A 14,604-nucleotide genomic window follows, 5' to 3' on the forward strand; every position below is an offset into this window, starting at 1 on the left:
TGTCAATTTCAGTATCTTTGAGATGCTTGGTTTAGGGGGAAATATATATATCATAAGCCAACTCTGTTTTCTATAACCTCCCTTATTTCAGATGGGACATCGGTAAGTGAACTAAGTTAATTCTTTTTCAATTAATCACTCCAGGAAAAATGATGTACCTTTAACGCAAAGAGAAACTCCAAAGCTGGTGGTTTTATTGAAAAGAAAAAAAAAGTTTTTACAATATTGAAAAACCTTTGCAAAAAAACAGTGATGATGGCTTAACTTTCTTGTTTGTTGATTTATCATCTCTACCCAATTCACTGTCATCTCCCTTTTTAAAGGAAGTTCTGAGGCTGCCCAAATGTGAATTGGGTAAAGAACCCCTTTTCTATCTTTTCTTCTCAATTTACTTCCCGATTGACTCAGGCATAGGCTTCACTCCCCAGCCCACTCCCAATGCTGAGACACCCCTTATGCCAAGAGCCTTCCTTCTCTCCTGCCTCCCCTTCCCCACCTCTCTGTGGTTTAGGGAAGGATAGGGTGCCATGCAGCATGGTTCCATCAAGCCATGCCCACCTCTGCCCACCTCCCTCCCTCCCAGCTCCCCTCATCACACTCCAAAGGGAAGGTGGATCTTCTAGCCTGATTAGTTCGGCCAGAAGACATTCACTGGGCCATGCTTATTATTTGGATGAGGGAAGGGGGCATTCAATGCCTTAAAAGCAGAAGCCCTTAGCCTCCCTTGTTCCCCTCTCTGTTAGGTCCTACTTCTGGCCTTCATGTGCTCATGAAGCCTAGGAGGGCCTGGCCCTGCAGGACACACTAGCCAGCCTCACTCTCTTCAAGACCAAGAGGCTGAGTAGACAAGGAGGCTCTGGGGCCCAACAAGGCCCAGGAGTCATTCTCTCACTGTGTGTGTCCCCACCTGTCCTTCTCTGTCCCTGCCACACTCCCACCTACCTGCCCCTAAACATCCCCTAGGGCCCTTCTGTACTTCTCTCTCTATGGAGAAGCAGTTTAGCAAAGTAGTTATGAGATCAGGCTCTGGGCTGGGACTTGACTTGACTCATGCCTGTAATCCCAGCATTTTGGGAGGCCAAGGTTGTTGGATCACTTAAACCCAGGAGTTTGAGACCAGCCCGAGCAACATAGTGAGACTCCTGCTTCTGGCTCTACCACTTACCAGTTTTATGAGCTTGACAATATATTCCTCGAGCCTCAGTTTTCTCATCTGGAAAACTGGCACCTGGGTCATTGTTTCTGCTCCATTTAGAACAATGTCTGGCACATAATAGTCCACAAGTGTTAGCTTGTATTCTCATCAGCACTGCTCCTATCATAGGAAAGAAAGAAAGAAAGAGAAAGAGAGAGAGAAAGAAAGAAATAAAGAGAAAGAAAGAAAGAAAGAAAGAGAAAGAGAGAGAAAGAGAGAGAGAAAGAAATAAAGAGAAAGAAAGAAAGAAAGAAAAAGAAAGAAAGAAAGAAAGAAAGAAAGAAAGAAAGAAAGAAAGAAAGAAAGAAAGAAAGAAAGAAAGAAAGAAAGAAAGAAAAAAGATGGGGTCTCACTCTATTGCCCAGGCTGGTCTTGAACTTCTGGCCTCAAGTGATCTGCCTACCTCAGCCTCCCAAAGTGCTGGGATTACAGGCATGAGTCACTGCACCCAGCTTCCTATCATTCTTTTTGAGTCCATGTGGCTGGGTAGGAAAGATGGCTCAGGGCCCCAGAAGAGCAGCATCCCCCACCTTCCTTTTCTACAGCACCCTTACATGCAGATTTAACTTGGTGATAGGTTAAACCAGGGCCTGTTTGCAGACCAACTGGCAGCCTCTTTCTCTCCTAAATGTCCTTCCTCCACACCACAGGCAGAGGGTAGTGTGAACCACGGTCTGAAATGGGGGTCACTAAAAGATATCCCCCATATAGGCTCTGAGCCAAAACTGCATGATCTAACCCAGACTTTACCAGTTTTCTGCTGGGCTTCGGCTGGCACACTTATTATAAAGAGGTCCTTTATTCTCATTCTGCTATTGTTTTCCCAGACACTCTCCAGGTGACAGGAAAAGCATTGTTACTGGGAGCCAGAATGGGGGCCTTCATGGGAATCTGGTCATAAAATTATCAATAAAGCAGCAAATCCACACCTTTATCTGTCATAAGCCAGGCACATACACAGGAACTCTTTTAGATACTGGGGGCACAAAGACCAATCGGGCTTATCATCCCTGACTTTGGGGAGCTGATAGTCTAACAGGTAAGATTATTTCTCGGCAGAGTGGTTCTCAAATGTTAATGAAAACCAGAATCCCCTGGAGGTCTTGTTAAGTTACAGATTTCAGGGCTCCAACTTCACCCTTTCTGATTCAGCAGGTTTTGGTGCTGAGAATTTGCATTTCTGACAGCTTCCAGGAAAGAATGATATTGCTGGGATGGAAACCACAGTCAGACCCACTGCTTCACTGTGCTCTGAGCAAGCACAGAATGTCTGGGATTCTATGGTGCTACAGATTTTTACCTCTAAACTACAGGGCTGTGGGTCCACACCCAAATTATCCAGGGGCTAGGGAATATTTCCTGGAGTACACAAACCTGCACCGGATCCTAAAGGATATGTACGGATTAAGCCTGGAGTGGCTTTTGGGCCAGGTGCTCAGCCAAGTGATCTGAGCATAGGGATTATCATCATTAGAATGACTTGGAATATTAGAGTGCAGCTTCAACAGCCTTTAAGAAAGCCGAAGTCAATAAAACAAACAACCCCATCAAAAAGTGGGCAAAGGATAGCAACAGACACTTCTCAAAAGAAGACATTTATGCAGCCAAAAGACACATGAAAAAAGCTCATCATCACTGGCCATCAGAGAAACGCAAATCAAAACCACAATGAGATACCATCTCACACCAGTTAGAATGGCTATCATTAAAAAGTCAGGAAACAACAGGTGCTGGAGAGGATGTGGAGAAATAGGAACACTTACACTGTTGGTGGGACTGTAAACTAGTTCAACCATTGTGGAAGTCAGTGTGGCGATTCCTCAGAGATCTAGAACTAGAAATACCATTTGACCCAGCCATCCCATTACTGAGTATATACCCAAAGGACTATAAATCATGCTGCTATAAGGACACATGCACACGTATGTTTATTGTGGCACTATTCACAATAGCAAAGACTTGGAACCCAAATGTCCACCAATGATAGACTGGGTTAAGAAAATGTGGCACATATACATCATGGAATACTATGCAGCCATAAAAAATGATGAGTTCATGTCCTTTATAAGGACATGGATGAAGCTGGAAACCATCATTTTCAGCAAACTATCGCAAGGACAAAAAACCAAACACCGCATGTTCTCACTCATAGTTGGGAATTGAACAATGAGAACACATGGACACAGGAAGGGGAACATCACACACCGGGGCCTGTTGTGGGGTGGGGGGAGGGGGGAGGGATATCATTTGGAGATATACTTAATGTTAAATGACGAGTTACTGGGTGCAGCACACCAACATGGCACATGTATACATATGTAACAAACCTGCACGTTGTGCACATGTACCCTAAAACTTAAAGTATAATAATAAAAAAAAAAAGAAAGCCAAAGTCCAATGCTGATTGTGCCATGACAGGCCCCAGAAACAACAAAGGAGATTTAGCTACTCATGAGTGTTTTGTGCCCTCCAGCATCCCAAGGGCCCCTGGTCCATACAGACCCTGACCAAGCCAGGGAATAAACCAGCAATTAGATCAAGAACAGATGAGGCAATCAGGGGAGAAAATGGTCAAGGGAAATAAAAAGTGGAAGATTAGAAGGAAATATCAATAAAGCCAAAGTTGTGAGACAAATCGTGGGAATTTCAGTAGACCTGACATGCAGAGGAGATCCAGTTTAGGGGAATAAGCATAGCCTTTGAAATAGCATAGATCTGAGTTTAAATAGCAGAAGTAACTAGAAAATAGTTAGTGCACAGTGACAGTTGTTGGATTAATTGGTATATGAAAGTATTTTCATATCTTATGAATTCAGTGGCCTTGGGAGAACAATGTACCTACCCTTTAGGGAGGTGGTAGATACCATCTAGAAAAGATGGTCTTTGATAAGCTTTTGGGCTCTAAGCTATGGGTCCTCTTGATCAATGCTTCTCAAACTATCTATGGAGGAGGACCTGTGGGGTTTCTTTTGTTGCTGTTGTTTCCTGTCATTCTAAATCCACATGTGGATCCACTGCACATGATGAGTATCTACAGGTGATTTTTTTTTTTTCGAGACAGGGTCTTGCTCTGTCACCCAGCCTGGAGTGCAGTGGCTTGATATCAGCTCACTGCAGCCTCCACCTCCCAGGATCAAGTGATCCTCCCACCTCAGCCTCCCAAGTAACTGGGACTACAGGCACTCACCACCACACCGAGCTAATGTTTGTATTTTTTGTACAGACTGGGTTTCACCAGGTTGTCCAGGCTGGTCTCGAACTCCTGAACTCAACAATTTCCCCACCTTGGCCTCCCAAAATGCTGGGATTACAGGTGTGTGTCCCTGCTCCCAGCCTTACAGGTGATTTAACACATGAATTTGAAGGCAACCAAACAAATCTATACCTTGTTCAATAAAATGAACCAGCTAATCATGTACTTGGATATTGTAGCTTTGTCAAATTGCTACAGCAGAACTGCTAGATGTCAGATTTTGAAGAAAGCAAGATTCCACACAACTTCCTTTAGATACCAAAAATGAAATTTTGAAGTCTGGGGAGTTTTACTTTGAACCACAGTAAGCTAGAAATCACTCTAAGAAGAATTTCAAGCTCTATTAGAGAGGTTTTTAGTGTGCAGAGAGAAAACAAGAACAAGGAGAAACAAGAAGTCAGACACATCTTAGTCACTTCCCCACTCCCAGCACTGCTATCATCACCATACCCAAAAACCACCAGGCAAAAATCCCAGGGCAGGGAGAGGGCCTTGCTGATTGTAGTAGAAACATGCAGACACACATGGAAAAACCAGAGGGCACCAGGACCAGCGGCCAGATTTCATGACACAGTTGGGTGGGGGCTGCTGCATGCTTCTCCAGAAGCCCCAGGTCCTGCACAGCATCACACCCAGTTTGGCACACTTGCAGATGTGCACCTTGGCAGAGGGAGGAGCAGATGTGGCACCTGGAAAAGAGGTCACCTTCTCTGACCTTCTGACCTAACTCCAGTGTTGTTTGGGTTTTGCTTTCTTTTTTGAGACAGAATCTCACTCTGTTGCCCAGGCTGGAGTGCAGTGGTGCAATCTCAGCTCACTGCAACCTCTGCCTCCCATGTTCAAGGGATTCTCCTGCCTCAGCCACCTGAGTAGCTGGGATTACAGGCACGCACCACCACGCCCAGTTAATTTTTGCATTTTTAGTAGAGACAGGGTTTCACCATGTTGGCCAGGCTGGTCTTGAACTCCTGGTCTCAAGTGATCCACCACCTCAGCCTTCCAGAGTACTGGGATTACAGGCGTGAGTCACCATGCCCAGCCCTAACTCCAGTTTTCTTCCCACTCTTGGCTCCATTCTGCACCACACTGGGGGTCACCCAAATGTCCACAGACTCACTAAACTGTTGCTCCCTGGCCATCCTTGGGCCCAGATAGATATACAGTGGTAGCCCGGGAGATGGCATGCAAGGTTCTGGATGCAGCCTCAGGGACGTTTACACAGGAATTTCAGAGTCCTGACTGCCCGAAGGGTGGTCTAAGAAAAGAGCACAAACTCCTGGCCCCGTGGACTCCTCACTAGAAGGAAGGGGTGCAGCCAGAGGAACAGATAAGGAATGGCCTCCAATGTGCAGGGCCCAGGGCTGCACTCAGTTGGCTGGACTCAGTTGGCTGCACTCAGTTGGCTGCACTCAGTCGCCTCGGGGCAATACAGAGAAAAGTCTAGACAGACAGCCTGAGCTGGCACTGGTGGTTTCTCATGACTGGTGCACTATATTCAGACAGTCTAGAAGTTCCCATGTGCCCTGGTTGGGGACACAGAGGTGGAGGGAGGAATGAGGACTAAGGAGGCCTGAGATGAGGAAGGCAAGCCCATCAAGAGCAGGAACCTTGAGACTGGAGACAAAAGCAAGGTCCAAGGTCAGCGACTGCTGATCCCAGCATGGGACCCAAAGCCAGACAGGACCAGTGACACCAACAGTGAAATCAAGAAGGACAGAGCTGGTATACTCAGTCAAGCAGGCCAAGACCCTTCCATTAAAGCCAGCAAGGATCTAGAAAACACAAGCCGAAGAACGGCACGCCCATACACTGGGAGCCAGCCCGGAATGAAAAAGGGGGAAGGAAAGAAATTTTGAAAATTCAAGCATTTCTGTGGAAGGCAATGAGCTAACTTGAAAAAGGCAGTTTAAACTGGGAAAGACAGAGAAGTCATCATCTCATCAACTGGGAAGCGGATGTACATACCCCTTTTGCCTGGCAGGGTGGGTCCCAAGAGCGAGGTCAGTTTCCAGTAGAGTTTCCCAACCTTTTTCACATGGTAGCACAGATGGAAAATGATAATACCTGTATAGAGCATAAAGGAAAGCAGTCAAGACAACTGGCTAGGGACTCCCAACCCTACCCAGGTTCCAAGAGGCAGAGGACATCAAGGTCTCTGCACCCCTGCAACTCAATTGCACCCCTGTGCCACAGAACATCAGTGAGGGGGCCTGAGTTACAGAAAACAAAGAACCTACATATTCCTCTGCACATACAAGTAATCGCTTGTAAACTTATAGACCCCAACTACAGGATGGATGAATGAATGAATGAAGAAACGAATCCATACCTTATCACTTCTGACTGAGTAACTTCTGTCAAGTTACTTAACTTCCTAGTTTCTCTGGGAAGAGTACAGATAATAATACCTGCCTTGAAAACTAATTTGTGAGGATTAAATGAGGCAATGTTAGCTTTGTCAATCAATGTGAGCTTTTTGGACCACTTCTCCTTATCCACTCTAAGCAGGCCATCCCAGGGAGACTAAATTAGCTAAAGGGACAAAGCTCAGCTTTTTGCCTCTGCCCATTAGGGCCCTTCCCTGGTAGGCCCTGGTACCCACAATTGCCTTGGGGTGATTTGTCTGGCTCTTGAGCTACAAATTGCTCTCACCTCCACCAGCCTATTGTGTACCCATATGTTAAGTTGCTTTTTCTCTTGATTCATTCTCCCTTTGGCCCTCAGACCTTGTCCTCCTTGCCTTCACAGCGAACTGGTTCTCATTTTTCCCTCTCAGAACCTGCAGCCCCCTCTTTCCTTACAGTCTTCAGAGGAAAGGACCCTAACAATATATCCTGGATAGAGGTTCACAGTTTCAGGGAGAAGCTGATATCAGGAGCCTATGAGAATGCCTAGAGAATCCCGGCAGATCTGAAAGAAACTCTGTGACCTGTAAGAACATGACACTTCAATCTCAGCAATTACTTTCCCTAAAAAGTGCTACATCCTTTCCTGAATATTGGTTATAGCACCAAATAAACCAGCAAATCCATCATCCTATCTCCTTGTGGGACATGTTTTTCCCCGATGTCTATGAGTCGTCTCATCAAGTCAGCACTCAGAAAGCTCTGAGACTGAATATCCCCACTTATCCTGCACTTCAGCTATTAATGAGTAACAGCAATATAATTAAGGCTTTTCACTTAACGATGAATCAACCAAAGCACTTGGGAAAGATGTGACACTTACAAGAACATTTACATTTTTTGTGCTAAAATATTATTTTAAAACTGCACACTATATCACCAAAAACAGTTCTGGGTGGAATTAAACACCACATTTCATGTAACTTGGTGCCATATGTTTTGTTAAACCTTGTGCTCTTGAAATGTCTGAGTCTGCACTGGAACCGAGGCAAGAAGGGTGGCTCAATAGGAAGAAATATGTACATACATCAAGTGTGTTTTCAGTTCTTATGTGCCAAGAAAACTGGAACCAGTGTGAATGCATTAGATGACCCAAGTGGGTTGACAGGATGCAATGCCCTGAAGGTAATACATGAGTTCCTAGGAAGAATTGAGAGGCAGAAAAGTTCACCAACTTGACAAGAACATGGCTTAAGATACTGACTACTCAGTGAATTGCTTCTAATCTGCCCTTCCTGACAGCTCATTAGTTTCTTTCCTAAACATGCTATATGCTAGACTGCCTTCTCTGGGGCTGAGGAAAAATGAAGTGAACCTTTTGAAATATAGAGTTGAGCCCCTCCTCTCCACAGATATCCAGAAGTATCATTGCTTAGGGAGCTCATACAGAGACAAATGGTGGCCGAACTCGATAAGGAATGGTATGGGGCTCACCGTCTCAGCCAAAAGTGCTCCCTAGATTTTAACATCTTTCACATTTTGCTCTCTCCTTTGAATTTATGACTTTAGCAAAGCAACTCATGCACGTAATTCAGAAATGCAACCTTTTTTTGTCGTGGGAGACAGGTTGAACAAATAGACTTATTTTAAATAAATGATTCCCCGTGAATTGTGCATGAAACATGGGGATGTCTCCTTTTTGGAAGAGTGTGGCTAACATTTTGTTCTTCTCATTGGAATGGAGTTTGTTTCTGCTGTGTTTCTTTCTTCTACTTAGCTGAGTTTTCCAATATGTCAGAGGCTGACATAGCGCACACCTATGGTTCAGTGACCCCTCTGGAATATTTGATTTTCGGGTGATCCATTTCTCCTTGGCCATATGATAAACTCAAATCAGGCTACTTTCAACAAAATGTTGTTGATTAAATCATTGTGTTGCAAATTAAGTTTTCTTCCCAACTTCCCTTCCTGGGGACAAGTGCCTACCGAATATTTTTGTAATGGTACTTAAGACTCTGAGGGATGGTGTATGAGTTCAAATATGAGTTCAGTTGTGTGTGACAGCAATGCAAAATAACACTGGTATAAACAAGATAGAAATATATTTCTCTCTCACATGAAAGTTGCCCTCAACCACATGACCCCAGATGACTTTTCATTAAGTCCTCATTCCAGCCAGCAGGAAGGGGAGAGAGAAAATATATTCCTTCCTTCTGAGATTGGTGAAATGTTACATTTCATTTCTACTTATGATCCCATTGGCCCATACTTAGTGACATAGCCAGACCTGGCTGCAAGGAAGTCTGGGAAGTGTAGTTTTTATTCTAGCTTGCCTGATAATGTACTTTTCAGGCTACTATAGCTTGCCTGATAAATTACTTTCAGGCTACTAGTTTATCAAGGTAATTTCCCACGTGACAACTGTGAAGTCAAAACAATCTGTGACTTTGGACCAGATTGGTATTGACTTTGGGCTGGTATTTGTGAAGGGTACTCCCTTCAATTTATAACTCTGGGGAGCAGCATAGACATAAAATACGGTGCTCCGTATTTTTGAATATGGATTTCTTAACCCAGGGAAAAGTCTATTTACAGAATGAAGTGCTTGAAGAAATTATCCAGATAATTCAAGGCAAAACATAAAGCTCTTAGAAACCAGACTTCTTGTTTTGAGGGACTTGAACCAGAAGAACCCTATGCAAGGAGTCTGACATTATCTTGAAGGATGCTAAGTAAAACTCTCTTTGGCAGAAAAAAATCTATTTCAAGTAGCTGTGTCAGAGGCGTTCAAAACAAAGTGACTCCATCTTGAGTGAGGGTTATGAAAATGAGGCTGGGGCTGGCTGGGCTGCATTCCCAGAAAGGTATTCTTAGCCTCTAGATGTTTACGGTTAAAGGAACAAATTGATAATGTTTACTAAACAGACCCAGGAAAAGGCATTCCTAATTTTGCCGTAAAGATGATAATATTGATTCTTGCAAAATATAGTAATTAAGAAAATAAATCCTTTATCACAAACCCTTGTAGCACAGCACATCTCCCCATGATCTTTTTTTATCCTATATATACAAGCATTGTACCTAGAATGGACGTGTTCCTCCTCTTACTTTCGGGAACACCGTACTCTCTCTATGCAGTAGCTATTCTTTCACCACTTTACTTTCTTAATAAACTTGCTTTTGCTTTGCACTGCAGACTCACCCTGAATTCTTTCTTGTGTAAGTTCCAGGAACCCTCTCTTAGTGTGGATCAGGACCCCTTTCCTGTAACAGCTGGGATCAGCAATCCCACTTGCCATATCAACATTATGTGTCCAGAGAAGGAAGTGCTGGTTACACTGTGGATTCTGAAGTCATTGTCTTGTAAGACAATGTTGTAGAACAAAAGGCAGGGGTCAATTTGTCAAAAATCACAATCCTGATACTAGCCGGCCTTGGTTCCTATGTTAGGCAAATATGCGATCTCTGTTGTTCTCTCTAGCAAGGGTGCTGGCTGTTACTTATAGATAATGCTTGAATGGGAACTTACACTGAGAAATCAAACTTTGAGTTTTACCCTGACTTCAGGAAAAAGATATCAAAAAGGGAAATGTTAGGCTATTTGACAGGTGTACTTTTTTGTTTCCTGACAGAAATTATCTAAGCAGTGGTTCCAAACTCTCATAGTACATTGGAATCACCAGAGGAATTTCCTAAAAATTAAAAACTAATTAAAACTAATGTCTAATCCCAACTTCAAGGATTCTAATTCAGTTATCCTGAGATGGGGCCAAAGGATCAGAATTTTTAAAACCTTCCTAAGTGATTCTAACATGCAGCCAGGGTTGAGAACCAATAACTTAAGGACCCTCCTCCCTGCCCTGATCCATTCCAATCATTACAGGATTGTGCAATCCAGATTAAAAGATTTCAAATGGGCTGAGCAAGGAATCCCTTTGCCATCAATAGCTGTAGCCAATTATCACACACCCACAGCTCTGATATCAAGCCCTGGGGAAGAGCAGATATAATAAACGGAGGGAAAAATAACAAAGGAAGGAGGTTAGCTTTAGTCATGCTCATTTTGTACAAGAAATCCACCCAAGGTACCCCACAAAAGATGTAGGTTTATTATAACCCTACATAAGTACCTGCAGTAGATGTGAAAAATGGGATAATTCCAGCGACCAGCTCCTCATTGAGTCTCCTTCATGGACCTAATATTGAAGACTGCCTGCAATGTCACCTGAATGACTCATCTTTTCATCCTATTTTGCATTATTTTCCTACAGTCACCCAACTCTCTAGCCAAGCTGGACCACTGTTTGTTCCCAGTGTCCCAACTTCTTCATGAAGTCTCTTTTCTTTTCCCCAACAGGAGGTGATCTAGCCCCCCTTCTTAATCCAACACGTTGTATCGTTGTTAGACATGTGTGTTATTCTGCTTATGCTGTGCTTACTTGTATTCTTTTCCTTCCCAATAATATAAAAACATCTTGCAAACAAGCTCTGCATCTTACTCATGTTTGTACCCCTTTAGTCCCTAACATAGCTCTTTCTGTGTGTTTGGCCCTCAGCAAATATTTACTAAGTGGAAATGAATTTTCAGAAACTTCTCCAGATGGTTCTTTCATATAGTGGATTGGTTCCGAGTATATGTACTTTATACCTTATCTGCTGCTTCTGAACCATGAAAGCCTGAGCAACTCTGTCTTTGAACGAAGGCTCTTCTTAGGTCTACACATGCTAAGAGAAATTGCTCTGGGCATGTCAACTATTATTTATTCAGCAGTTCAGCATCCACTATCTTAAATGGCCCTCTTCCAACTGCAGTGACTCATCTGACATTTTGGAATAAAATAAATATCCCTTTTAGGAAAAAAAAATCCCAAAGTTTCTCTTTAAAAGCTTTGGGGTTACTAGGGGGAAACAAGAATGGAAAGGAAAAATATGGGAGTGGATGCAGTGGTGAACGTGCAAAGAAAGTTCTTCCAATGACAATAGAGCTTTTAAATATTTATGCAGAAGGAAAGAACACTTTTCAGAAGCCAAGTCATTTTTCAGTTAAACAAACCTCTCCATCTCCAGGGAGACATGGGTATTCCCATTTGATCTGCAGGGGGAAAGTGGAGGATTAGCAAAAGGATTTTACTCCTAAGCACATTTCTGTTTTTTAAACTTTAAAAAGCCAGCTAGACACTCTGCCTCCAATACAGGAGTAACTATATCCACAGAATTTGTGAGGATTGACAGATAAATATTGTCATAGTAAAATTAACATAATTGGTATTTATATTTACATGACTCCTTCCAAGTTATAACGTTTTTCACATGTGTTATCTCATTGAAACTCACAACAACCCTGTAAGTAATAGGAATTATAATCCCCATTTTACAGAGCACGAAACTGAGGTGCTGGTTGCTAGAGAAGACAAAGTGCCCAGGCATTCTTTCCAACCACACACCCTGTTAATATGCAGGACAAAGCTAAGCAGATGGAGCCCTGTACAAACAGTTCCCTACTCAAATACATCCAGGGTCAGTGCAGTGATTAAGGGCTTATGCTTTGGAGTCAGACAGAACAGACCAAGAGGCAGAGATTCCAGCTCTGCCTCTCCATAACCCTGGGCAAGGTACTTATTAACTTCACTTGGTAGCAGGCTTCTAATTTGTAAAATGCACATAAAAATAGCCACAGGGGTTTTCTGAGAATTAAATGAGTTCGTGAAGTGCTTACCACAGGGCCAGGTACAAGACAAACCCTTAACGAATGATAGTTATTAATATTAGTATAGGTTCATCTATGAGGAATAACACATTGCACATTGCAAAGTGCTCTATAATTATGACTTCTAATTAAATGCATGGCCTAATGAAAAACACATCTGGGAGTTTTCTCCGGCTGAGAGTAAACACTAATTTCAAATGAAAAATCGGTGCTAAACCATTGTACCTCAAAAGGGACTCCAATATTTTTTCAAGATTATGTATTCTGTTACTGAAAGTGCATACACCAGTCAAAGTTGGGTTTTATTTATTTTAAAATACCCTGTGTTTTAAAATTTTTACCAATAAACCATGTCTACCAGATTACCCCATATTTCACTGCACACTTCAATAATCTTTACACGTTAATCAACCACCTTGACTTTGCACCCTGTATTTATTGTGCCCATATTTTATTATTTCTTTGGTAAACCTTATGTTTCAAAAGCTTTCCAGAAGAACTCAATCACAAAACTATGCTTCTGGGTGACACTTAAGATATAAGGTTTTAACCCAGTGGTGAAATAATTTTAATGATAAAAACAAAACCATGAAATGGAATCCTAGTGACAGTTAAACAAATCTGTAATTATCCAGCCAGTGTGTAAATCCCTTCTCTCCCCTTTCTCATTCAATTTGCAGACCTGGATGTCATCTCATTAAATCAACAGCTCAGATGTGCACACAAACGTCTTACACCAAATACATATTCCTCTTTCCACCTCTCTCCCAACATCTAAGCTTCTCTTACGTAATGGCAACATCAAATTAAATCAGGGGTAAAAAGTAAATGGGAAATCAGGTATCCAAAGCAAATGCAAGCAGCTACAGCTGGTGCTTCACACCAACAATCTCCAGGTGTTGAAAGAAGATTATGTGAATGGGAATGCTGTGTGCGTGTGTGTATGCACGCACACATGCAATTCAACAATTACTGAATTCTTCCCATTTGCATATTTCCAGCACTAAGCCACATGCCTGGCATATGTGAGTCTTAATAACTGTTCATCAGATGAATCTATGAATTACAAACACTCCACTGAAATCACTCTCTGTAATGGTCCTTGCATGACCCTCTGATCCCACTTATTCAGCATCTGTATTTAAGACTTTGTTTTGGTAATTAAAAGTCTTAACAGTTATGCTTTGTTCAAGCCCAAAATACCATTCAGATGAGATGGCGCTTCCTGTAGCAGTTTCTCTATGTCATCCATCTACGCCAAGCTTCACCCTTACCCTCAAGAGCTTGCTAAAGTTTTTGCAAGAGATGGGAATGTCTGTCATCCATAGAAGGAAAAGAGAGGGTGCAGTGCTGCCTGAAGTGCTGAGAAGCACAAGCCAACACTCTTACTTCCAGGAAATCCATGGCCTTATGGACTAAGTTGTTGTCCATGGTCCCCAGCTGTAAGCCTTCACTCCTTTCCAAGCTGGGCCCCAAAAAGGGGACCCGGGGCCCAGGCCTTGAGAATGGCTTGCAATGGCAGGAAGTGATTCAGGAGTATGCTTTTGGAAGTCCTAATCTCCGATGCTCCTGGCACTCATGGGATATCATTGTGGAATAAACTCTCAGTGAGAAAATAAGGAACTGGACCCAACCAAAGTCATTTTAAAAACACATCTGCTATTGGAAAGAGAAGTGAATCTAATATCTTTCTCACAGAACTGACTTGCAGATAAGTGGAAACTCTAAGTGTCATTCCTGGGGATACCGCGTCCTGCTACACAGCTGGAGTGGATCCTTATCCTCCATCTGGGACTCATCCAGAAACCCAAAGCCATCATGTCATCCACTTGTCCATTTAATTACCAGGCTTTTTTACTTTTAATATTCTTTCATTCTCACCATCTGGAATTGGTTTTTGTCAGATGTTAGGATCCATAATATCTTCCTCTGAGTTGCTAAAATTGGATGAATTTCTTTGGGATTAATTTGGGAGGAGGTGTTTTCTTTAATTACAAACTCAAACATCTCAAAATGTTTTAATGAGCAAGGGAATTGTGTTCAAAACCAGAGCAGTCCAGCCAGACTTGGTCCTTTTGACTTCTGGAGAAGAACACAAATAAGT

The 14,604-nt window shown here is 42.7% G+C and overlaps 1 long non-coding RNA gene across 1 annotated transcript in view; it reads right to left on the reverse strand.

Annotated features, from left to right (window-relative positions):
• Positions 1-14,604, reverse strand: part of LOC101927066 (uncharacterized) — a 494,634-nt gene that overhangs the window by 460,793 nt on the left and 19,237 nt on the right. The window contains exon 2 of the long non-coding RNA NR_125390.1: positions 6,414-6,512. This is a non-coding gene — a long non-coding RNA (uncharacterized LOC101927066). The remainder of the gene's footprint in view (positions 1-6,413; positions 6,513-14,604) is intronic.

Source organism: Homo sapiens, chromosome 8, assembly GCF_000001405.40.
Source record: "Homo sapiens chromosome 8, GRCh38.p14 Primary Assembly".
Lineage (NCBI taxonomy): Eukaryota > Metazoa > Chordata > Mammalia > Primates > Hominidae > Homo > Homo sapiens.